Source organism: Homo sapiens, chromosome 19, assembly GCF_000001405.40.
Source record: "Homo sapiens chromosome 19, GRCh38.p14 Primary Assembly".
Taxonomy (NCBI): Eukaryota; Metazoa; Chordata; class Mammalia; order Primates; family Hominidae; genus Homo; species Homo sapiens.
The window spans coordinates 765,286-790,184 of record NC_000019.10 but is presented as its reverse complement, the minus strand read 5'-3'; the positions used below and the strand labels follow the sequence as shown (position 1 = coordinate 790,184).

General features: G+C 54.3%; 2 long non-coding RNA genes across 2 annotated transcripts, besides 5 other annotated features; one reads left to right on the top strand and one right to left on the bottom strand.

Moving 5' to 3' along the window:
* Positions 1,870-2,438: an enhancer, noted in NCBI's record as "H3K27ac-H3K4me1 hESC enhancer chr19:787747-788315 (GRCh37/hg19 assembly coordinates)". NCBI's record gives its function as "activates a minimal SCP1, AML or CMV promoter by ChIP-STARR-seq in naive H9 embryonic stem cells {active_cell/tissue: H9 hESC(naive)}" and the evidence as "EXISTENCE:reporter gene assay evidence [ECO:0000049][PMID:30033119]".
* Positions 2,439-3,009: an enhancer, noted in NCBI's record as "H3K27ac-H3K4me1 hESC enhancer chr19:787176-787746 (GRCh37/hg19 assembly coordinates)". NCBI's record gives its function as "activates a minimal SCP1, AML or CMV promoter by ChIP-STARR-seq in naive H9 embryonic stem cells {active_cell/tissue: H9 hESC(naive)}" and the evidence as "EXISTENCE:reporter gene assay evidence [ECO:0000049][PMID:30033119]".
* LINC01836 (long intergenic non-protein coding RNA 1836) lies at positions 4,482-7,389 on the bottom strand. Its single transcript, XR_001753829.3, has 2 exons — positions 6,855-7,389; positions 4,482-5,370 (listed from the first exon to the last, which is right to left on the bottom strand). It is a non-coding gene; the product is annotated as a long intergenic non-protein coding RNA 1836 (long non-coding RNA).
* Positions 7,263-7,836: an enhancer, noted in NCBI's record as "NANOG-H3K27ac-H3K4me1 hESC enhancer chr19:782349-782922 (GRCh37/hg19 assembly coordinates)". NCBI's record gives its function as "activates a minimal SCP1, AML or CMV promoter by ChIP-STARR-seq in naive H9 embryonic stem cells {active_cell/tissue: H9 hESC(naive)}" and the evidence as "EXISTENCE:reporter gene assay evidence [ECO:0000049][PMID:30033119]".
* LOC101928450 (uncharacterized) lies at positions 7,577-9,183 on the top strand. Its single transcript, NR_187752.1, has 2 exons — positions 7,577-7,981; positions 8,948-9,183. It is a non-coding gene; the product is annotated as an uncharacterized LOC101928450 (long non-coding RNA).
* Positions 10,748-11,462: an enhancer, noted in NCBI's record as "H3K27ac-H3K4me1 hESC enhancer chr19:778723-779437 (GRCh37/hg19 assembly coordinates)". NCBI's record gives its function as "activates a minimal SCP1, AML or CMV promoter by ChIP-STARR-seq in naive H9 embryonic stem cells {active_cell/tissue: H9 hESC(naive)}" and the evidence as "EXISTENCE:reporter gene assay evidence [ECO:0000049][PMID:30033119]".
* Positions 10,882-11,176: a silencer, noted in NCBI's record as "tiled region #14223; K562 Repressive non-DNase unmatched - State 23:Low". NCBI's record gives its function as "represses a minimal TATA promoter and a strong SV40 promoter by Sharpr-MPRA in K562 cells {active_cell/tissue: K562}" and the evidence as "EXISTENCE:reporter gene assay evidence [ECO:0000049][PMID:27701403]".

Sequence of the window (24,899 nt, the reverse complement as noted above, 5' to 3'; positions counted from 1 at the left end):
TCTGTCTCAAAAAAAAAAAAAAAGGAAAGGATGGAGTGAAGTGGGTAGTTGTTCATGCCTATAATCCCATCACTTCGGGAGGGCGAGGCACGAGGATTGCTTGAGGCCAGGACTTTGAAACCACCCTGGGCAACATGGCAAAACCCTGTATAAACAAAAGTCAAAGAATCAGCTGGGCGTGGTGGTGCACGCCTGTGGTCTCAGCTATTCAGGAGGCTAAGGCCGTAGTCTCACCAGAGCCCAGGAGATGGAGGCTGCAGTGAACCGAGATTTCGCCACTGCACTCCAGCCTGGATGACAGGGCAAAATCCAGTCTCTAAAGCAACAGAAAAAGCAAATAAACAAATAAGGAAGGGGGGGCAGGGGTCTTTCTGTCAAGTGACCACCCACAGCAGCTTGTGGTTCGGACGGAGACGCAGGGCCTACTGGGTCCCTGCTCCTGCTGGGAGGTCCTGCGGGCAATGAGCTGTGTTAGAAGCCAGGGGTTGCCGACGATGGACATGAAACAGGTACAGGACAGGGCGCCGCCGGGAGCTGCAGCCAGCCCCGCAGGAAACAGCCGCAGCCAGAGAGAAAGGCAGGAAGGGCCCGGGAGGGTCAGGAAGGCCTCGCTGAGGAGGCAGAATTTGATCTGAGGGGGAAGGGCCGGCCACAAAGGCAAACTCCCCGGGGTGGGGTGAATTGAGTTCCCTCAAAGATCTGTCTTTGCGTGAACCCCAGGCACCTACAAATGGGACCTTATGTGGAAATAGGGTTTCTGCAGATGTAATTAGTTAGGATGAGATCATTAGGGCGGGCACCACCGCAGTGACAGGCGACTTCGGGAGACAAGGGAAATTTGGACACAGATGCAGAGGAGACCGCCGTGGGGCAGCAGAGGCAGAATTGGGAGGGAAGCGGCCGCAAGTCCAGGAGGGTCAGAGGTGGCTGTCGGCACCAGGAGCTGGAAGAGGCCGGGAGGGTACTCGCCTGGCACCTTGCACACCTTCACTTCAGACTTCCGGCCTCCAGAGACGAGAGTGTATTTGTGTTGTTTTAAGCCGCACAGCCTGCTTACCTGGTCCCAGCAGGCCCCGGAAGCCCATTCATCCTGCGGGGACTTAGGCCAGCCAGGCGTGCTGGGGCCTCGTGTGGTGATGGGGATGGGAGACAGACGTGGGCCAGAGCGCTGGCCCCCCTCCACGGCCTTGCAAAATTTATTAAAAGGAAGATGTCTCCATAGGGAGAGGGAACGTGAGCCGGGCTGTCAGTGATCCAGCAGCCATCTGCTCACCAGCCCGACCACAGGGTCAGCGGCCTGCAGAGTGGGGGTGGGGCGGGGGCACAGAGGGATGGCAGGCCCCGCTGCACGCTCCCCCGGGAGTGGAGACCCCAGCCCTGCAGGCTGCTGCGCCCAGGCCTTGTTCTGGGGAACACTCTGTCTCCAGTGTCCTCTAGAACTCGGCGTTTTATCCATGGCAGGTGGAAGGTCTGCTCTTTGTAAAACAATAATAAAGTCAGGCCAGGCGCGGTGGCTCACGCCTGTGATCCCAGCACGTTGGGTGACTGAGGCGGGTGGATGCCCTGAGGTCAGGAGTTCGAGACCAGCCTGGCCAACAGGGCAAAAGCCTGTCTCTACCAAAGATATAAAAATTAGCTGGGTGTGGTAGCATACACATGTAATCCCAGCTACTCGGGAGGCTGAGGCAGGAGAATTATTATTTGAACCCAAGAGGCGGAGGTTGCAGTGAGCTGAGATCACGCCACTGCACTCCAGCCTGGGTGACAGAGTGAGACTCTCTCTCTCTCTCAAAAAAAATGAGTAAATCGAGGCCGGGCGCGGTGGTTCACGCCTGTCATCCCAGCACTTTGGGAGGCTGAGGCGGGCAGATCACGAGGTCAGGAGACCGAGACCATCCTGGCGAACACGGTGAAACCCCGTCTCTACTAAAAATACAAAAAAATTACCCGGGCGTGGTGGTGGGTGCCTGTAATCCCAGCTACTTGGGAGGCTGAGGCAGGAGAATCGCTTGAGCCCGAGAGGCAGAGGTTGCAGTGAGCCAGGATCACACTAATGCAGTCCAGCCTGGACAACACAGTGAGACTCGGTATCAAATAAATAAAAATAAAAGTACATAAATAAAAACCTCACAGTGACCCTGACATTGTGTCTCCCCAGAGGTCAGGCCTCCATTGTGAGGGGATGTGGGATCCCGATAGGAAGCTAATTTTGGAGGGAACCAGGCCTAGAAGGAAAAGAGCCCCAGGCGGGCCCAGGATGGAGGCGGAGCAGACGCCCTCCAGGCCGCAGCTGCCCCGGGCTTCATTACAGGGAACCCAGGACACCGTAGCCAAGCCCGGAGCTCCTGGAGGTGACTGCTCAGGCATCAATAGTTTATAGCAGGAAACGACACTTGGTCTCAGGTCACCCACAGCCGGCTCGGGTGGCCTGGGGCTGGGCCCTGGGGCTGGAGTGGAGGCTGTATCACAGGTACCAGTTTGCTCTGGTTTTGATGGGCCTGTGGGCCATGGCGGCTCAGGTGCTTGTGCAAGGAGGGCTTTGGGGCCGGGCGCGTGGCTCCCACCTGTGATCCCAGCACTTTGGGAGGCCGAGGTGGGCGGATGGTTTGAGCCCAGGAGTTTCGGACCAGCCTGGGTGACATAGTGAGACCCCATCTCTATTAAAAATTTAAAAATGAACACTTTCAGGCTGGTCACAGTGGCTTCCTCCTGTAATCCCAGCACACTGGGAGGCCGGCATGGGCAGATGGCTTGAGTCCGGGAGTTCAGACCAGCCTGGGCAACATGGCGAAACCCTGTCTCTAAATAAATAGGAAAAGAAAGATAAAATGAAAACAACAACAAAAAAGAATAAAAAAAACCCAGAATAAATAAATAGCAGAGGCGGGAGGATCACTTGAGGTCAGGAGTTTGAGACCAGCCTGGACAACATGGTGAAACCCCGTCTCTACTAAAAATACAAAAATTAGCCGGGCGTGGTGGTACCTATAATGCCAGCTACTCGGGAGGCTGAGGCAAGAGAATCCCTTGAACCAGGGAGGCAGAGGTTGCAGTGAGCTGAGATCACGCCATTGCACTCCAGTCTGGGTGACAGAGCGAGACTCCGTCTTCCAGAAAACAAAACAAAACAAAGCATAAACTCACATATATATATGTGTGTACATATTTATTTCAATATATTTTATTGGGATTATATTTTCTCCTTTGTTTTCTTTTTATTCTGAATTGGCTTGCTAGGAAACATGCTTCTTTTTTTTTTGAGACGGAATCTCGCCCTGTTGCCCAGGCTGGAGTGCAGTGGTGCGATTTCAGCTCACTGCAACCTCCGCTTCCCGAGTTCAAGCGATTCTCCTGCTTCAGCCTCACAAGTAGCTGGGATTACAGGCGCCCACCGCCACGCCCAGATAATTTTTGTATTTTTAGTAGAGATGAGGTGTCTCCATGTTGGCCAGGATGGTCTCAAACTCCTGACCTAGTGATCCACCTGCCTCGGCCTCCCAAAGTGTTGGGATTACAGGCGTGAGCCACCGTGCCCAGCCCGAAACATGCTAATATACTAAATCCTGGTGAAAAAATTGCTACATATAATTGCAAGAAATTCACACAACCGTGAAGAATATAAAATGAGCCTGCCCCGCACCCCTGGCCTGTCTCAGGTATTCAAGCTGTTCAAAATTTGCTCCATTTGCTTCAGGATTTTTTCTTTTCTTCTCTTCTCTTCTTTTCTTTTCTTTTCTGAGACAGAGTCTCGCTCTGTCGCCCAGGCTGGAGTGCAGTGGCGCGATCTCGGCTCACTGCAAGCTCCACCTCCCAGGTTCAGGCCATTCTCCTGCCTCAGCCTCCCGAGTAGCTGGGACTACAGGTGCCCACCACCACGCCCGGCTAATTTTTTTGTATTTTTAGTAGAGACGGGGTTTCACCGTGTTAGCCAGGATGGTCTCGATCTCCTGACCTCATGATCCGCCCGCCTCGGCCTCCAGAAGTGCTGGGATTACAGGTGTGAGCCACGGCGCCCGGCCTGTTTCAGGACTTTTTTCAAAGCCTGTTTCCAAACCCCAGAATCTACAAGGATGATACAGATGTTTTTTTTTTCTTTTTGTATTCTTTTTATTCTTTTTTTTTTTTGAGATGGAGTCTTCCTTTGTTGCCAGGCTGGAGAGCAGTGGTGCAATCTTGGCTCACTGCAACCTCCGCCTCCCAGGTTCAAGCGATTCTCCTGCCTCAGCCTCCCAAGTAGCTGGGATTACAGGCGCCCGCCACCACACCTGGCTAATTTTTTGTAGTTTTAGTAGAGATGAGGGTTCACTAGGTTGGCCAGGCTGGTCTCGAACTCCTGACCTCATGATCTGCCCACCTCAGCCTCCCAAAGTGCTGGTATCACAGGCGTGAGCCACCAGGCCCGGCTGGAAACAGATGTTTCTAAAATGTTTTACAAGGTAGCAGCGTAGTATAACTGTTACACATCTGCTATTGTTCATTTCTTAAGTGGTCCTCAAGACTTTTGTATCCATTTATTCCCTGATGTGTTTGAAAACTAACATTTCCCAGACTTGTGTGGCCCAACATTTAAAAATAAGAGTTGGGGAGTTCCTGACCATCCTGGCCAACATGGCAAAACCCCGTCTCTACTAAAAATACAAAAATTAGCCTGGCGTGGTGGCACACGCGTGTAGTCCCAGCTACTCGGGAGGCTGAGGCAGGAGAATTGCTCAAACCCAGGAGGCGGAGGTTGCAGTGAGCCGAGATCACACCACTGCACTCCATCCTGGGCAACAGAACAAGACTCCATCTCAAAATAATAATAATAATAATAATAATAATAATAATAATAAATAAATAAATAAAAATAAAAGAGCTGGCAACAAAGGAGAAATCTAACATCCCCAAACAATCTAGAGGTAACAAGTGGTTAGTATTTTGGATGTTATAGAGGTTTTTTTTTTTTCAGACGGAGTTTCACTCTTGTTGCCCAGGCTGGAGTGCAATGGCACAATCTCAGCTCACCGCAACCTCCGCCTCCCGGGTTCAAGCGATTCTCCTGCCTCAGCCTCCCGAGTAGCTGCGCCACCACGCCTGGCTAATTTTGTATTTTTAGTAGAGACGGGGTTTCTCCACGTTGGTCAGGCTGGTCTCGAACTCCCGACCTCAGGTGATCCGCCTGCCTCAGCCTCCCAAATGCTGGTATTACAAGCGCGCCCGGCCTGGAAACATCACTTTGAACACTTGCAGACCGTCCTTCCTCCTCCTGGTCATCTTCCAGATGCAGGAGCTGGTAGCTGAGGGTGTCATCTGTGGGGCCACAGTCCTCTGTGGCCGGGCAGTGCTGCCCCTGGCGTTGGCCCCTCATTCTGCTGGTCCAGCAGTTCCTTCCTGGGGACGTGCAGGGGGAACACAGGCCCTGGCATCGGACACGCAGTCAGCGCACACAGACCCGTCCATCCAGCGCCAATGCCACATTCCACACATGCCAACAGCACCTCCCTCCTGTCCCTGCCATCGTCCCCAACCCCGCACACCAGCCGCCCCTTTGAAGTCCTCAAGCCTTCCTATCACAACAGCAGAGCCTGACAAACAAGAAGAAAAGCCAGGGCCAGGCACTGTGGCTCACGCCTGTAATCCACCAACCTGGGATGTCGAGGTGAGAGAATCACTTGAGCTCAGGAGTTCAAGACCAGCCTGGGCAACGTGGCGAGACCCCATCCGGAAATTTTTTTTTTTTTTTTTTGAGATGGATTCTCCCTCTGTCGCCCAGGGGCACGATCTCACCTCACTGCAACCTCTGCTTCCCGGGTTCAAGTGATTGTCCTGCCTCAGCCTCCGGAGTAGCTGGGATTACATGTGCGCCACCACACCTGGCTAATTTTTGTATTTTTAGTAGAGACAGGGATAGTCTCAAACTCCTGACCTCTAGTGATCTGTCCGCCTCAGCTTCCCAAATTGCTGGGATTACAAGAGTGAGCCACCGTGCCTGGCTGCTAAAGTTTTTTTTTTTTTTTTTTAATTAGCTGGGCGTGCTGGCGTATGCCTGTGGTCCCAGCTACTCAGGAGGCTGAGGCAGGAGGATCACTTGAGCCCAGGAGGTCGAGGCTGCAGTGGGATGTGATCTTGCCACTGCACTCCAGCCTGGGTGACACAGCGAGACCCTGTCTCTACAAAAATAAATAAATAAACAATGGGCCGGGCGCAGTGGCTCACGCCTGTAATCCCAGCACTTTGGGAGGCCGAGGTGGGTGGATCACAAGGTCAGGAGTTCGAGACCAGCCTGGCTAACATGGCGAAACCCCGTCTCTACTAAAAATGCAAAAATTAGCCAGACGTGGTGGCTCATGCCTGTAATCCCAGCTACTTGGGAGGCTGAGGCAGGAGAATCGCTTCCACCTGGGAGGCGGAGGTTGTGGTGAGCCGAAGTTGCGACACTGCACTCCAGCCTGGGCGACAAGAGGGAAACTCTGTCTCAAAAAAAAAAAAAAAAAAAATTTAGCCGGGCGTAGTGGCATATGCCTGTAGTCCCAGCTACTTAGGAGATTGAGGCAGGAGGCTCATTTGTGCCATTGGGGTCAGGGCCGCAGCAAACTATGATTACGTCACTGCGCTCCAGCCTGGGCAACAGAGCGAAATTCCAGGAAGGAAGGAAGGAAGGAAGGAAGGCCACAGTGATCCTTTCCCTGCCACCCCGAGCTTCTGGGTCGAGCCAACAGGGTTAAAATTCCCGGGCATCTTCCTAGAGGAAAATTCTAGAATCCGTTGGGCCACTGCAGGCCCCATCGCCTTCTATCCATCACCCCTGGATTTCTGGGCAGCTTCCTTTTTTTTGCTTGTGATAAAATAGGTCCTAACAATAAAAACAAACATACCCAGGTGCCCATGTTTATCTCCACGGCGCAGCCTCCGGGTTCTGGAATTTTCTTGGTCACTTCCAGATATTGTAGAGAATTCCGGAAGAGCACCGCAGACAGCCCAGGCGCGGCCCGGCCGAGGCTTAAACACGTTTTCTTAAATCACCAGATTCCGCCACCAACCTGCAAAGTTCATGGTTTTTTTCTCTCTGCGAAACTCTTGCCTTTGAAACCTCCTGCAGGGGTTCCTGTACCCCCAGAGATTGAACAATTCAAAACCTTCAGGACCCCTGTCCGGAGGCCCCCAAATCCCCTTTGGTGAGGGCTGCGGCCGGCGAGGAAAGGGCGCTTGACCCTGTCACGAAAGCAAATTCGGTCGGGTCCTCCAGAACCACCTTCTCATTTTCTCCTGTTTACCTCACAGCCAAGAATGAGATAATAAAACAGAGAAAGAAATAGAGACGGGAGGGTTGGGGGCAGTTTCCACGGTTTCTTCAAGCACAGTTCCTGCAGGGTTGTCTGGTTTGCACAGAGAGGCTGTTGGCTCCTGGACGTGGGTCCTTGGGGGACCTTCGATTTCTCGCCGGGTCCAGGGTGGCCCCGGCGGGAGGAGGACCTCGCCCACATTCCTGGGATTCCTTCTCTCCTTCCCACATTGTTTGTTTGTTGACTTTAAATTGGACTCTGCCAGGAATTCCTTTTCCTCTTGGGTTTAGTGGTGAGCAGGAGGGACTTAGCATATCACAGAGCCCCCGGCAGCCAAGCTACCGGGTGTCCTGGCCCCCTTCAGTTCCCTCCCTTGTCCTCCTCGAGGACCCCCCAACTCAGGCACCCACACCACGGGGGGCTGCGGGACCCCGAGCCTCACTCGTGCCACCGGCCACCCAGCGTCCCCTGCATCTTCCCCGGGGACTCACACACCGCCTCGAGGCCACTCCGCCCCTCCGGATGGATGTCCAAGCCTCCAGCCAGGGCCCCTTCCCTGCTTCATCTCCAGGGTTGACGGAGGTCGAAGGAGCACATGTCTGCTTGCAGGGCACGCCAGGTCCTGATGGACACTGACGTCTAGACCTAGACGGTGGCTCAGCCTGAACCCTGGACGGCCTGGAGCACAGCCATGCAACTGCTTCTAAGACAAAACCGAGGTGGGGATTAAAGCTACCCTCCCAGGCCGCCTGGCTGGAAACTCATCCCCCTCTGTCCCCAGCCCCTGCAGCCCCCATCACTGCCGCTGACAGCCGCAGGGTGTGGCTCACAGAGGGACAGCAGGGAGGGAGAGACGGACGGGGTGGGATCCTGGGGGCCTGTGGCCTTCAGAGCGTCTCACTGCCCCAGCCTTGATGGGGTTGTCTGTAGAGCGGGGATTCAGCTGCCTGGTCTGTGGCGACTGTCCGGTGGCCCAGGGGGTGGACGTGACTCTCCTGTGCGACTTTGTTTTTCTGAGACGGAGTCTTGCAGTGGCGCGATCTCGGCTCACTGCAACCCTCGCCTCCCGGGTTCAAGCGATTCTCTTGCCTCAGCCTCCCGAGCAGCTGGGACTACAGGTGTGTGCCACCACACCGGCCTAATTTTCTTTTCTTTTCTTTTCTTTTCTTTTTATTTTTTGAGACGGAGTTTCACTCTTTCGCCCAGGCTGGAGTGCAGTGGCGTGATCTCAGCTCACTGCAAACTCCGCCTCTCGGGTTCAGGCCATTCTCCTGCCTCAGCCTCCTGAGTAGCTGGGACCACAGGCGCCTGCCACCACGCCCAGCTAATTTTTTTTTTTGTATTTTTTAGTAGAGACGGGGTTTCACCCTGTTAGCCAGGATGGTCTCGATCTCCTGACCTCATGATCCGCCCGCCTCAGCCTCCCAAAGTGCTGGGATAACAGGCGTGAACCACCATGCCCAGCCACGCCCAGCTAATTTTCTGTATTTTAGTAGAGATGGGATTTCACCATGTTGCCCAGGCTGGTCTTGAACTCCTGGGTCCAGGCAGTCTGCCCACCTTGGCCTCCCAAAGTACTGAGATTACAGGCATGAGCCACCGGGCCTGGCCCCACGGTGTGACTTTGACCTCCTCATGGGAGGAAAAAGCAGGATGAAGCGGGGATGATGTCTGTCGGTCCTCAGCAGGAGCATCTGCCAACGTCTCCACATTGTGGACCTGAGATTGTTCTCCGGAAGCTGCAGTCGGAGCATCGCCAGGCCCAGCCCTGGGTCCTCCACCCGGGCCACTGCCTCTCAGGCGGCCTCTCCCTGCCCCCGCCCCTCCGGGGCCCCACAGGGCGGCCAGTGCAGACCTGGGTGTGCAACGGCCCCATCAGCGTTTGTTTCATGAACAAATAAATGTCTAAATTCAGGACCCATCCAGGAGTCCCCTTTTTCTTTCAGTGAGATGAAGTTCCTATAACATAGAATTCCAGTGTGGGCAGCCGGGCACGGTGGCTCACGCCTGTCATCCCAGCACTTTGGGAGGGCGAGGCGGGCGGATCACTTGAGGTCAGGAGTTCAAGACCACCCCGACCAACATGATGAAACCCCATCTCTACTAAAAATACAAAATTAGCCGGGTGTGGTGGCGGGCACCTGTAATCCCAGCTACTCCAGAGGCTGAGGTGGGAGAATCGCTTGAAGCAGGGAGGCAGAAGTTTTGGTGGGTCAAGATCGTGCCGCTGCACTCCAGCCTGGGCAACACAGAGAGACCTCAAAAAAAAAAATTCCAGCGTGGCAACATAGCAAGACCCCATCTCTATTAAAAATAAAAGGCTAGGCTGGGCGCAGTGGCTCACACCTGTAATCCCAGCACTTTGGGAGGCCGAGGCAGGCTGATCACGAGGTCAGGAGATCAAGACTATCCTGGCTAACACGGCGAAACCCCATCTCTACTAAAAATACAAAAAATTAGCCGGGTGTGGTGGCGGGCGCCTGTAGTCCCAGCTACTCGGGAGGCTGAGGCAGGAGAATGGCGTGAACCCGGGAGGTGGAGCTTGCAGTGAGCTGAGATCGTGCCACTGCACTCCAGCCTGGGCGACAGAGCGAGACTCCGTCTCAAAAAAAACCCACAAACAACAAACAAACAAACAAAACCAACAACAACAACAAAAAGAAAAAAAGAAATGTCCAGGACAGACAGACCAAGCCACAGAGACAGGAAGGGGATGCATGGATTCTCAGGGATGGGGAGGGGATGGGGAGTGACAGATGATGCCCCAACCACAAAGGATGATGGGAATATCCTGGAATTAGAGGTGACAGCAGCACAGCACCGTGAAGGCACCAAATCCCACTGAATTATTCACTACAATGCTTAATTCTGTTTTTCCTTTTTCTTTTCTTTTCTTTTTTTTTTTTCTGAGATGGAGTCTCGCTCTGTCGCCCAGGCTAGAATCCAGTGGCGCGATCTCGGCTCACTGCAAGCTGCGCCTCCTGGGTTCACACCATTCTCCTGCCTCAGCCTCCTGAGTAGCTGCGACTACAGGCGCCCGCCACCACACCCGGCTAATTTTTGTATTTTTAGTAGGGACGGGGTTTTGCCATGTTAGCCAGGATGGTCTCGATCTCCTGACCTCGTGATCCGCCGGCTCGGCCTCCCAAAGTGCTGGGATCACAGGCGTGAGCCACCACGCCTGGCCCTGGACATTTCATGGAAATGGGATCACACGCTGTGTGGCCTTTCGTGTCGGGCATCCGTCTGAGCCCTACATCCTCAGGGTGCATCTGCGCTGTGGCTGGCGTCAGAGCCTTGCTCTCTGCTCCTCTCCGTTTCCATCCACGCCTGGCTCCCGTGAATCGTGCCACTGTTTCCTTCCACGCCTGGCTCCTGTGGACTCCGTCCATGCCTGGCTCCCGTGAATCATGCTGCTGTTTCCTTCCACGCTTGGCTCTCGTAACTCGTGCCACTGTTTCCTTCCACGCCTGGCTCCTGTGGCTCGTGCCACTGTTTCCGTCCACCCCTGGCTCCCGTGGCTCATGCTGCTGTGAACATGTTTATTGAGAGCCGCTGTGTTCGGTTATCTGGGGTGGATTCCTCGGAGCCGCACGGTGGGGTTAGACGGCGCCGCTGTCTGGCTTTCTGAAGCACTGATCCATGTTTTCCACGGCGGCTGCCCGCTTCCCATTCCCTCCCAGCAGCCAGTGTGGCTTCTCCTCCTGTGGACTAAACCCGGGGCCCAGGATTCAAACGCCAGGGTGAGGCCTCAGCCCCGGTGCAGGGTGTGTGTTCATCATCTGAAAACCATGTGCCCAGGAGGGAATTGGGCAATTTCAGCGAGTTCAGGCAATCCTCCTGGAAGCTGCCTGAGATCCGGTGGGCTGGAAAAACTGGCCTGGATGTTTCCTGCCCCAGTTTTCTGAGTCTGGAAGTTCCTTTCCCTGAGAAGAGAAGCTCCAGGAGGTCAGTGACGGTCTATGTGTGGCCGCCTGTGGCTTTTTTTGTTTGTTTTGATTCGAACTCTCGCTCTGTTGCCCAGGCTGGAGCACAGTGGCACAATCTCGACTCACTGCAACCTCCGGCTCCTGGGTTCAAGCGCTTCTCCTGCCTCAGCCTCCCAAGTAGCTGAGATTACAGGCACAAGCCACCACGCCCAGCTAATTTTTGTGTTTTTAGCAGAGACAGGGTTTTGCCATGTTGGCCAGGATGGTCTCGAACTCTTGACCTCAGGTGATCCCAAAGTGCTGGGATTACAGGCGTGAGCCACCACTCCCAGCCTCTATTTTATTATTTAAAAAAAAAATTTTTTTTTGGCTGGGCATGGTGGCTCACGCCTGTAATCCCGGCACTTTGAGAGGCTGAGGCAGGCAGATCACTTGAGGTCAGGAGTTTGAGACCAGCCTGGCCAACATGGCAAAACCCTATCTCTACTAAAAATACAAAAATTAGCTGGGCGTGGTGGCAGGCGCCTGTAATCCCAGATACCCTGGAGGCTGAAGCAGGAGGATCGCTTGAACCCGGGAGGTGGAGGTTGCAGTGAGCCGAGATCTCACCATTGCACTCTACCCTGGGTGACAGAGTGAGACTCCCTCTCAAAAAAAAAATTTTTTTTTGAGACAAGGTCTTGTCCTCCTGTCCAGGCTGAGGTGCAATGGTGCAGTCATAGCCCACTGCAGCCTCGACCTCCTGGGCTCAAGTGATTCTCCCACCTCAGCCTCCTGAGTGGCTGGAACCATTGGGACCACAGGTGTGCACCATCATGCCTGGCTAATTTTTGTATGTTTTTTAGAGATTGGGGTCTTGCTGTGTTGCCCAAGCTGGTCTCGATTGCCTGGCCTCAAGCAACCCTCCCACCTTGGCCTCCTGAACTGCTGGGATTACAGGCGTGAGCCACCGCCCCCGGCCTGCAGCTCTGCTATTCATAACAGCCCAGCCCTGGAAGCCACCAAAACGTCCTTCGGCAGGCGAGCAGATAAACATCGAGAATGGAATGTTATCTGGGGCTAAAAGGAGAAGGGAGGAGGTGCCCTAAATCCATAATCTTTTAAAAAATAGGCCGGGCGCGGTGGCTCACGCCTGTAATCCCAGCACTTTGGGAGGTCGAGGAGGGTGGATCACAAGGTCAGAAGATCGAGACCATCCTGGCTAACACGGTGAAACCCCGTCTCTACTAAAAATATAAAAATTAGCTGGGTGTGGTGGCGGGCGCCTGTAGTCCCAGCTACTTGGGAGGCTGAGGCAGGAGAATTGCTTGAACCCGAGAGACAGAGGTTGCAGTGAGCCGAGATCACGCCATTGCACCCAGCCTGGGCTACAAGAGCAAAACTCCATCCAAAAAAAAAAGAAAAAATATATTTATATATATATTTATATATATTTATTTATATATTTTATATACATCTATTTTATTTTTTTTTTACTTTTTTGAGACAGAGTCTCGCTCTGTTGCCCAGGCTGGAGTGCAGTGGTGCAATCTCAGCTCACTGCAAACTCTGCCTCCTGGGTTCACGCCATTCTCCTGCCTCAGCCTCCCGAGTAGCTGGGACTACAGGCACCCGCCACCACGACTGGCTAAGTTTTTGTATTTTTAGTAGAGACGGGGTTTCACCGTGTTAGCCAGGATGGTCTCGAACTCCTGACCTTGTGATCCACCCGCCTCAGCCTCCCAAAGTGCTGGGATTACAGGTGTGAGCCACCGCGCCCGGCTGAATTTTTCTTTTTTTTTTTTTTTTTAAAGACGGAGTCTTGCTCGCTCTGACTCCCAGGCTGAGTGCAGCAGCACAATCTTGGCTCACTGCAACCTCCACCCTTCTGGCTAGAGCAATTCTCCTGCTTCAGCCTCCCGAGTAGCTGGGATTACAGGCACCTGCCACCATGCCCGGCTAACTTTTGTATTTTTAGTAGAGATGGGGTTTGACCATGTTGGCCAGGCTGGTCTCGATCTCCTGACCTCGTGATCCACCCGCCTCGGCCTCCCAAAGTGCTGGGATCACAGGCATGAAGCACTGCGCCCGGCCTGTCTTCTCCTTTTGTTCGTTATGAATCATGCCGCCTCGAACACGCGTATGGACCTGTGTTTTCCTTTCTCTGGGTAGAGACCACGGCGTGGAATGGTTTGGTCACAGAGGAACCCCCAGGCTGTTTCCGCAGCCTGACTGGTAGCTCTGACGTCCCAGCCAGGCTGTCCGGGGCCCAGGGAGAACGAGGTGGAAACTTGCAGATGCTCCCTGGGTGGAATCATTGATCCGGACGATGACTTATTCATGACAGCAGCTTGGTGGGGCCAGAAATTTCCATGGATTCCTGTTATAAATAGGGCTGGTGTGAGCACCTGGCTGCAGGGCCGGGCGGGAGGTTTGTCCTGTGATTGCTGGAGCCCGGGAGTTGGAAGCTGCGGTGAGCTATGATCACGCCACTGCACTCCAGCCTGGGCGGCAGAGGCAGATCTCATCTCTATTTTAATTAATTAATTTATTTTATTTTATTTTATTTTTATTTATTTATTTATTTATTTATTTATTTTGAGACGGAGTCTCGCTGTGTCCCCCAGGCTGCAGGGCAGTGGCGCGATCTCGGCTCACTGCAAGCTCCGCCTCCCGGGTTCACACCATTCTCCTGCCTCAGCCTCCCGAGTAGCTGGGACTACAGGCGCCCGCCACCACGCCTGGCTAATTTTTTGTATTTTTAGTAGAGACGGGGTTTCACCATGTTAGCCAGGATGGTCTCGATCTCCTGACCTCGTGATCCACCTGCCTCAGCCTCCCAAAGTGCCGGGATTACAGGTGTGAGCCACCGTGCCCGGCCCTATTTATTTTAATATTTATTTATTTATTTATTTTGAGGCAGAGTCTCACTCTGTCACCCAGGCTGGAGTGCAGTGGTGTGATCTCGGGCTCACTGCAACCTTAGCCTCCCGGGTTCAAGAGATTCTCCAGCCTCAGCCTCCCGAGTAGCTGGGACTACAGGTGCCCGCAACCACGCCTGGCTAATTTTTGTATTTTTAGTAGAGACGGGGGTTTCACCATGTTAGCCAGGATGGTCTCAATCTCCTGACCTCGTGATCCGCCCACCTCGGCCTCCCAAAGTGCTGGGATGACAGGCGTGAGCCACCGCGCCTGGCCTCAGCGTATTTATTTATTTATTTATTTGAGAAAGTGGGTCGTTCTGTTGTCCAGGCTGGAGAGCAGTGGTGCAATCATAGCTCACTGCAGCCTCAACCTCCTGGGCTCAAACAGTCCTCCCGCCTCGGCCTCCCGAGTAGCTGGGATCACAGGCACCTGCCACCACGCCGGGCTAATTTTTGGGTTTTTCATTACAGGGTTTTGCTATGTTTCCCAGGCTGATCTTGAACTCCTTACCTCAGGCGATCTTCCCACTGCGGCCTCCCAAAGTGTTGGGATTACAGGCATGAGCCACCACTTCTGGCCCCCTGTTTTCCATTATTTTGAGACCCCCCCAAATATTTAATGCCCAGATAAGTGGTGACCCGCCCCCCCCCGTGGACACACACTGCTGGCTGCCCTTCCAGCACTCACTGACCCCAGGGAAGGCTTGGGAGGCCCCAGAAGTGGATCCCGGGGAGGGGACTTGGGCAGCCCCCAGCTCAGGCCACCAGCATGGTCTGGGGGAGTGTCTGTAGGGGTACAGTCCTCACTCTGGACTGCTCCGCCACATGCATGAGTCACCTGTCCAGGCAGCACCCAGAGTGGACAAAACATAAACCATGGCCTCCCCATCTCCAGCACCATCTGTCTGGCTTAGCAGGAAACAGGGTTTGCAACCTCAAATTGAGGGTTCCAGGCCAAACCCTCAGATTTGCTCAGAAATATCCTAACATGGGCCGGGCGCGGTGGCTCACGCCTGTAATCCCAGCACTTTAGGGGACCAAGGCGGGCGGATCATGAGGTCAGGAGATCAAGACCATCCTGGGTAACACGGTGAAACCCCGTCTCTACTAAAAATACAAAAAATTAGCTGGGCGTGGTGGTGGGCACCTGTAATTCCAGCTACTTGGGAGGCTGAGGCAGGAGATGGCATGAACCTGGGAGGCGGAGCTTGTAGTGAGCCGAGATGGCTCCGCTGCACTCCAGCCTGGGTGACAGAGCGAGACTCTCAAAAAAAAAAAAAAAGAAAAGAAAAGAAAAGAAAAAAAGAAATATCCTAACATGGCCAGGCACAGTGGCTCATGCCTGTAATCCCAGAACTTTGGGATGCCAAGGCAGGCGGATCTCGAAGTTAGGAGTTCAAGACCAGCCTGGCCAACATGGTGAAACCTGGTCTCTACTAAACATACACAAAATTAGCTGGGCGTGGTGGCACCCACCTGTAATCCCAGCTACTCAGGAGGCCGAGGCAGAAGAGACGCTTGAGCCTGGGAGAGATTGTCCCACTGCATTCTAACCTGGGTGATAGAGTGAGACTCCATCTAAAAAAAAAAAAATTGCATTTTATTTTGAACAAATGAGTTTGTCCAAAGACACCATTAAGAGACTCAAAAGGGGCCAGGCACTGTGGCTCATGCCTGTAATCCCAGCACTTTGGGAGGCCGAGGCGGGTGGATCATGAGGTCAGGAGTTCAAGACCAGCCTGGCCAACATGGTGAAACCCCGTATCTACTAAAAATACAAAAATTAGCCGGGTGTGGTGGCAGGCGCCTCAGAAAAAAAAAAAAAAAAAAAAAAAAAGAAGAAGACTCAAAAGGAAAGTGCCAGACTGGGAGAAGGTACTAGCTAGCAGTGCATAATGTAATCAAGGACTCAGGTCCAGAATATATAAAGAACTCCCACAAATCAACAGGAAAATAAACAAACCAATTTGTTTTTGTTTTTTTTTTTTTTTTTGAGATGGAGTCTCGCTCTGTCACCCAGGCTGGAGTGCAGTGGCAGGATCTCGGCTCACTGCAACCTCTGCCTCCCAGGTTCAAGCGATTCCCCTGCCTCAGCCTCCTGAGTAGCTGGGATTACAGGCGCCCGTCACCATGCCCAGCTAATTTTTTGTATTTTAGTAGAGACGAGGTTTCACCATGTTGGTCAGGATGGTCTCAATCTCCTGACCTTGTGATCCGCCTGCCTTGGCCTCCCAAAGTGTTGGGATTACAGGCATGAGCCACTGCGCCCTTATTTTTTATTTTGTTTTGAGATGGAGTTTTGCTCTTATTGCTGAGGCTGGAGTGAAGTGGTACAATCTTGGCTCACTGCAACCTCCGCCTCCCGGGTTCAAGCGATTCTCCTGCCTCAGCCTCCCGAGTAGCTGGGACTACAGGCATGTGCCATGGCACCCGGCCCTAATTTTTGTATTTTTAGTAGAGACAAGGTTTCACCATGTTGGCCAGGCTGGTCTCAAACTGCTCACCTCAGGTGATCTGCCTGCCTTGGCCTCCCAAAGTGCTGGGATTACAGGCCTGAGCCACCTGTGAATTTATTGAGGGTGTTGGGAAATACCAGCCACAGAGGAGGATGCCTTGGTCACCTACTCAGGCCAGGATCACCCACCCCCTCTCCGGTGAGAGGCTGAGCACAGAGAGGTGGAGAAACTCACCCATAGCACCGAGGCCATCAGGGGACAGCCTGAGCTCTAACCTGCATCCAGGGGCCCTGGAGCTGGTCTCTCCCTGGCAGATCCCCAGAGCCGGCGCTATGCTTTAGGAGCCAGGAGCCAGTCCTCAAGCTCTTCAGGACTGTCCGGCCCCCAGCTGGCCATGCCTCGCTGCTCCTCACGGGCTGCCGGGCAGGAAACCAGAGCTCTGTTCTCGGATAGGGCAGGAGGCTGAGGCCAGGTGGGTGGGGCACCCAGCCCCTCACTCCCAGGCAGCCCCCTTCTCCATCCCTCTATCCCGCCAGCATTTGCTCCACACCTGCCCCGTGCGGGACTGGGGCTGGGCACAGCCTCTGGTGGCCTCATTTGGCTTGGGGTTGGTGTCCTGGGGACCCTGACTGGGGGGCCCTCCTGCTTGCCTGCACAGCCGGAAGTCTGAATCTAGGCCCCACGGGCCCCTTCTCTGGTTGAGACTCCATCAGCTGCGCAATCCAGTTTCCTCAGGCGGCTCCCTCTGGGCCTCAGTTTGCTGGTCTGTGAAATGGGAATAATAAACATTTTTTGCTGGGTGCAGTGACTCACACCTGTAATCCCAGCACTTTGGGAGGGTGAGGCGGGCAGATCACCTGCAGTCAGGAGTTCGAGACCACCCTGGCCAACATGGCGAAACTCTGTCTCTACTAAAAATACAAAATTAGCCGGGTGTGGTGGCATGTGCCTGTAATCCCAGCTACTCAGGAGGCTGAAGCAGGAGAATTGCTTGAACCCAGGAGGTGGAGGTTGCAGTGAGCCGAGATCTCACCACTGCACTCTAGCCTGTGCGACAGAGCAAGACTCCATTTCAAAAAAAAAAAAAAAATGAGCCCATGATTTTGTTCTCTCCCCTGGTCACCCTAAGTAGAGATGGAGTCTCTCTACGTTGGCCAGGCTAGTCTCCAACTCCTGAGCTCAAGTGAGCCTCCTGCCTCAGCCTCCAGAAGTGCTAGGATCACAGGCATGAGCCACTGAGCCCTGCCCAGCTATTTATTCTGCCATATTTACTGAGCAACAGCTGTGTGATGAGGGGAGCGTTCACCAAAGCCTTGAAAGAAGTGAAGAAATGAACCCAGTGGGTACCTAGGGAAGGGAAACCAGGCAGAGGACATGGCCGTGCAAAGGCCCTGGGGCCGGACCTCACCTGGGGAGGCAAAGGCCCTGGGGCAGGACCCCGCCTGGCAAGTTGGAGGAACAGGGAGGAGGCCCGTGTGGCTGGAGCAGAGGAAGGGGGGAGACAGGGAGGAGGGAGAGTAGAGAGGGGACTGGGCAGAGGAGGGGGAGACAGGGAGGAGGGAGAGGAGAGAGGGGACTGGGCAGAGGGGGAGACAGGGAAGAGGGAGAGGAGAGAGGGGACTGGGCAGAGGAGGAGGGGGAGACAGGGAGGAGGGAGGGGGAGACAGGGAGGAAGGAGAGGAGAGGGGACTGGGCAGAGGAGGAGGGAGAGACAGGGAGGAGGGAGAGGAGAGAGGGGACTGGGCAGAGGAGGAGGGGGAGACAGGGAGGAGGGAGGGGGAGACAGGGAGGAAGGAGAGGAGAGGGGACTGGGCAGAGGAGGAGGGGGAGACAGGGAGGAGGGAGAGGAGAGAGGGGACTGGGTAGAGGAGGAGGGGGAGAAAGGGAGGAGGGAGAGGAGAGAGGGGACTGGGTAGAGGAGGAGGGGGAGATAGGGAGGAGGGAGAGGAGAGAGGGGACTGGGTAGAGGAGGAGGGGGAGATAGGGAGGGAGGAGGGAGAGGAGAGAGGGAGGAGGGAGAGGAGAGAGGGGACTGGGCAGAGGAGGAGGGGGAGACAGGGAGGAGGGAGAGTAGACAGAGGAGGGAGAGGAGAGAGGGGACTGGGCAGAGCCTTGTGGGCTGCACGGAGGACTTGGGCTTCTACCCAGAGGGAAATGGGAGCCATGGAGGGCTGTGGGCAGAGCAGGGACACCCCCAGTCAGCCTCACAGGCGCCCTCTGGCTGCTGTGGAAGAGCCACCGCACTCGGCCACTTCCGGCTAATTTTATTTATTTATTTTTATTTTTATTTTTGAGACGGAGTCTCACTCTGTCGCCCAGGCTGGAGTGCAGTGGCTCGATCTCGGCTCACTGCAAGCTCCGCCTCCTCCCAGGTTCAAGTGATTCTCCTGCCTCAGCCTCCTGAGTAGCTGGGACTACAGGTGCCCCCCACCACACCCGGCTAATTTTTTTGTATTTTTAGTAGAGACAGGGTTTCACCTTGTTAGCCAGGATGGTCTCAATCTCCTGACCTCGTGATCCGAGGGCCTCGGCCTCCCAAAGTGCTGGGATTACAGGTGTGAGCCACCGCGCCCGGCCCTGCGGGCTCTGTTTTCAACCTCTAAATAGTTGGTCAGGGCTGGGCTCGATGGCTCACACCAGTAATCCCAGCACTTTGTGGGGATGAGGCAGGAGGATCACTTGAGGAGTTCAAGACCAGCTTGGGAAACATGGTGAGAACCCCATCTCTACAAATAATTTTTTTTTAGATGGAGTCTCACTCTGTCATCTCTACAAATAATTTTTTTTTTTAGATGGAGTCTTCCTCTGTCACCCAGGCTGGAGTGCAATGGCTCAATCTCAGCTCACTGCAACCTCCACCTCCCAGGTTCAAGCAATTCTCCTGCCTCAGCTTCCTGAGTAGCTGGGATTACAGGTGAACGCCATCACACCCGGCTATTTTTTTTTTTTTTTTTAAGTAGAGACGGGGTTTTGCCACGTTGGCCAGGCTGGTCTTGAACTCCTGACCTCAAGTGATCCACCCGTCTTGGCCTCCCGAAGTGCTGGGATTACAGGCGTGAGCCACCGCGCCCGGCCCTGTCCAGGCTTTCAAGGAGCACTAAGCAAACACCATCCGGTTACGGGAATGAGAAGGTGAGAGTGGCGGCAGGTGCGTTTTCTCCCTGGCGGGGCGAGGGCCGCGGCTGCATCCTTGGTGTTTGCCGCCCTCTGGTGGCAGCGTGCATCGGCTCCTCTCCGGCTCACACCAGAAAGTCACATGGAAGTCATTGTCTGGTGACAATTCGTTAATTTACTTGGTCAGAACCAACATTCATTCTTTTTTTTTTTTTTTTTTTTTTTTGAGACGGAGTCTCGCTCTGTCGCCCAGGCTGGAGTGCAGTGGCGCGATCTCGGCTCACTGCAAGCTCCACCTCCTGGGTTCACCCCACTCTCCTGCGTCAGCCTCCCGAGTAGCTGGGATTACAGGCGCCCACCACCACGCCCGGCTAATTGTTTGTATTTTTAGTAGAGACGGAGTTTCACCATGTTAGCCAGGATGGTCTTGATCTCCTGACCTCGTGATCCGCCCGCCTCGGCCTCCCAGAGTGCTGGGATTACAGGCGTGAGCCACCGCACCTGGCCTCAACATTCATTCTTATTCCTCACTGATTTTCACCAGGTGCCCGGTGACCCTCATGACGTCCCCCAGGGCAGGGATGTCAATGTGGCGACTTCACTTACAGATAAGGACACTGAGGCTGGGAGAGGGGTAGGCCTTGCCCAGGGTCCCTCAGGGGCATGTGGCAGAGCTGGGAATCTGTCCTGGGCTTGGAGCCTGAGCTCCCAACACCGAAGGAACCTGAGGATGCTGTGTGGCACCTGGAACCAGCTGAGCCTGAAGCTGGCCCTACATTGATGTTTCAGTTACGGGAACCCATAAAGCCTAGTTTTGCCAAAGTCAGTCTGAGTTATGTTTGCTTGTGTCCTCTCCTAAATCTCTTTATTTTATTTATTTATTTATTTATTTATTTTTGAGACGAAGTCTTGCTCTGTTGCCCAGGCCGGAGTGTAGTGGCGCGATCTCAGCTCACTGCAACCTCCATCTCCCGGGTTTAAGTGATTCTCGTGTCTCAGCCTCCTGAGTAGCTGGGACTAGGCACGCGCTACCACGCCTGGCTAATTTTTTTTATTTTTATTTATTTTTTATTTATTTATTTTTATTTTTTGAGATGGAGTCTCGCTCTTGTTGCCCAGCCTGGAGTGCAATGGTGCGATCTCGGCTTACCACGATCTTTGCCTCCTGGGTTCAAGTGATTCTCCTGCCTCAGCCTCCCGAGTAGCTGGGATTACAGACACCTGCCACCACGCCCAGCTAATTTTTTGTATTTCCTAGAGACAGGGTTTCACCATGTTGGTCACGCTGGTCTCAAACTCCTGACCTCAGGTGATCCACCTCCTGCCTCAGCTTCCCAAAATGCCAGGATTACAGGCATGAGCTACCATGCCTGGCCCCTGCAGGGTTAATTAAAATGGAGTTGAGGCCAGGTGCAGTGTCTCACGCCTGTAACCCCAGCACTTTGGGAGGCTGAGGCGGGTGGATCATCTGAGGTCTGGAGTTCCAGACCATCCTGCCCAACATGGAGAAACCCCGTCTCTACTAAAAATACAAAAATTAGCCAGGCGTGGTGGTGGGTGCCTGTAATCCCAGTTACTCCGGGGGTTGAGGCAGGAGAATCGCTTGAACCCAGGAGGCAGAGGTTGTGGTGAGCTGAGATTGCGCCGCTGCACTCCAGCCTGGGCAACAGCGTGAGACTCTGTCTCAAAAAACCAAACAAACAAAAAAGAGAATTCTCCTCCTTTCCCTGGCATATCATGATACACTGAGCCAGGAGGAAACCAGGAAAGAATATGAACTCCCTCCTGCTAGCAGCGAGCGCCAGCGGACAGTTTTGCCCGCCCCAAAGGCCTCTGTGATTGCTGTGATGTCCGCAGACCTTCCAGACACGCTCTCCCGCCCCTGGAAATTTCACTAGGAATTCGTCTAAACCTCTCACAGAGTAACTTCTGGAATGTGTCTGCTCAGCAGGCAGAATTCTGTCTGATTTTCCAAGGGGCTGACTCATTACAGGAATTAAACTAAATCTTTTTTTTTGAGCACAGTCTTGCTCTGTCGCCCAGGCTGGAGTGCCGTGGCGCGATCTTGGCTCACTGCAACCTCCGCCTCTCGGGTTCAAGCGATTCTCCTGCCTCAGCCTCCCGAGTAATTGGGATTACAGGTGCGCACCACTGCGCCCGGCTAATTTTTGTATTTTTAGTAGAGACAGGGTTTCACCACATTGGCCAGGCTGGTCTCGATCTCCTGACCTTGTGATCCGCCCGCCTCGGCCTCCCAAAATGGTGGGATTACAGGTGTGAGTGACTGTGCCCGGCAAACTAAATCTTAAAAAAACAGGACAGAATAGGCCGGGCGAGGTGGCTCACGCCTGTAATCCCAGCACTTTGGGAGGCTGAGGCAAGTGGATCACCTGGAGTCAGGAGTTCGAGACCAGCCTGGCCAATATGGAGAAACCCTGTCTCTACTAAAAGTACAAAATTAGCTGGGTATGGTGGGGGCGTGGGCCTGTAATCCCAGCTACTCGAGAGGCTGAGGCAGGAGAATCACTGGAATTCAGGAGGCAGAGGTTTCGGTGAGCCGAGATCACGCACTCCAGCCTGGGCAAATGGAGCGAAACTTTATCTCAAACAAACAAAAGGACAGAATAATACAAGATGAAAGTGCACATTTTCTTTTTATTTTTAAATTAATTAATTAATTCTTTAGGACGGAGCCTTGTTCTGTCGCCCAGGCCGGAGTGCAGTGGCACAATCTTGGCTCAGTGCAACCTCCACCTCCTGGGTTCAAAGGATTCTCCTGCCTCGGCCTCCCGGGTAGCTGGGATTACAGGCGCCCACCACCACACCTGACTATTTTTTGTATTTTTAGTAGAGACGGGGTTTCACCATGTTGGCCAGGCTGGTCTCAAACTCCTGACCTCAGGTGATCCGCCCGCTTCAGCCTCCCAAAGTGTTGGGATTACAGGTGTGAGCCACTGCATCTGGCTTCTCTTGGTCTTCTGCTGAGTGAGCAAGTCCCCAAGGACTTGGGGACAGATGTGAGGTGGAGCCCTGAGTGATTTGCTGAAGTGACTTCTGGGGTACAGGGGCTACACTGTTGGAGTCTGCGGTGTGTGGCAGGCTGGGTTATGTGGGGCTCAAATGTCTGAGCCTCGGTCTCTCCTCTGGACAGCAGGGTGGGGTGCCTTCAGGAGCAGGACCATCCGGGCTGTTACTGTAGCTCCTGCTGCCCCCCACCCCGCTCTTGACTGAGGGGTCTGCGGGCAGCGACACCAGATCCCACTGGCTGGGCTCACCCTTGAGCAGCAGAAGCTGCATCCTGCTTCTGAGAATTCTTTATGGCACAGGACAAAGAAAATCATGGCTGAGAGGAGAGCAGGTTTTAAGAATTTAGGATGAGGGCCGGGCGTGGTGGCTCACGCCCATAATCCCAGTAATTTGGGAGGCCGAGGCGGGCGGATCACCTGAGGTCAGGGGTTTGAGACCAGCCTGCCCAACATGGAGAAACCCCGTCTCTACTAAAAATACAAAAATTAGCCGGGCGTGGTGGCGGGCACCTGTAATCCCAGCTACTCGGGAGGCTGAGGTGGGAGAATCCCTTGAACCCGGGAGGCGGAGCTTGCAGTGAGCTGAGATGGCGTCACTGCACTCCAGCCTGGGCGACAGAGCGAGACTTCGTCTCAAAAAAAAAACAAAATACAAAAAAACAAATTTAGGATGAGACGGGGAGGGAGGAAAGCAAAAATCATGGAAAAAGAGAGAGGTCAGGAGGGACAGAAACAGGGAGATAGACGTGGAGAGAGAGGCCTGAACACCAGAAATGGACAGACAGACAGGAGAGATAAAGGGCTGGGGACCTGGTGTTGGGTCTGGAGGATAGATCGTGGCTTCCGATCCAGAGTTGGGGGTGGACATCACTTCCTGCAACGAAGCAGGCGGTTCTTCTTGAACCCAGCGCCCAGGGGCAGTGAGGGGCATTACGGGGTCAGGGGAGACCCTGCCGAGCCTCTGAGAACTGAGGCCGCTGTGGGACCATCTTGCTGGCAGGACGATGGGCAGGGTGAGGTGACCGTCCAACTGGGATGATGTGGGAATAATGCACCCCTTGGTGACGCGGTGTCTGGCAACAGGCCACAGCCAGGGCCAGGGACACTGAAGACGGGGACCCTGGCCGCACACAGAGCCTTGCCCTTTGGTCTTGGCAGGGGGCTTGTGCAGGGCACAGCCTGTGCAACAGTCCTGGCCGGCCCTGAGCAGAGGTGACTGAAGAGTCACGGAGAAGGGGGATGTCGAGATCCTCTGGTGGGCAGAACAATGGCCCCAAAGACATCCCTTTCCTAATCCCCGGGACCTGTGGCCGTGTCACCTCTCGTGGCAGAAGCACCTGCAGATGGGACTGAGTAATGGACCGTGAGACAGGAGAACATCCTGGGTGACATGGAGGCCCAGTGTCCTCATAGGGCCCTCACGAGAGGAGGCAGGAAGGTGAGCCTGAGAGAGACAGGGAGAGATTGCCTTTTTTTTTTGAGACAGAGTCTCACTCTGTCACCCAGGCTGGAGTGCAATAGCACGATCTTGGCTCACTGCAATCTCCACCTCCCCAGTTCAAGTGATTCTCCTGCCTCAGCCTCCCAAGTAGCTGGGATTACTGGCATTTGCCACCAGGCCCAGCTAATTTTTTGTATTTTTAGTAGAGACGGACTTTCACCATGTTGGTCAAGCTGGTCTCGAACTCCTGACCTCAGGTGATCTGCCCGCCTCGGCCTCCCAAAGTGTTGGGATTACAGGCGTGAGCCACTGCGCCCAACCATGTCTGCTGTTTTAAGTCATTAGGTGGGTGGTGATTTGTTATAGTAGCCAGTGGAGGCTCACACATCCTCAGAGCACAGGGACAGAGGGACAGAACATGGGGCATCGGGGGAAGATGGGGTGGCAGACAGTGGAGAAACTGATGGGACTCACCCAGGACTGTGTGTGAGGCCCTCCCTTCCCGCAGGCCCCACGTTTGGTTCTTGGGGTTGGAATAGAATTGCCCCGACATGAAAGAAGTCACCAACTATGGCCACTGAGCCTCCCTCTATGGTCACATAACCTGCCTCCTCCATCAGACTGGGGTCCCCCGAGGGCAGATGCCTCCTCCATCAGATAGGGTCTCCCTGAGGGCAGAGGCCTCCTCCGTCAGACTGTGGCCCCTCTGTGGGTAGATGCCTCCTCCGTCAGACTGGGGTCTCCCTGGGGGCAGGGGCCTCCTCCATC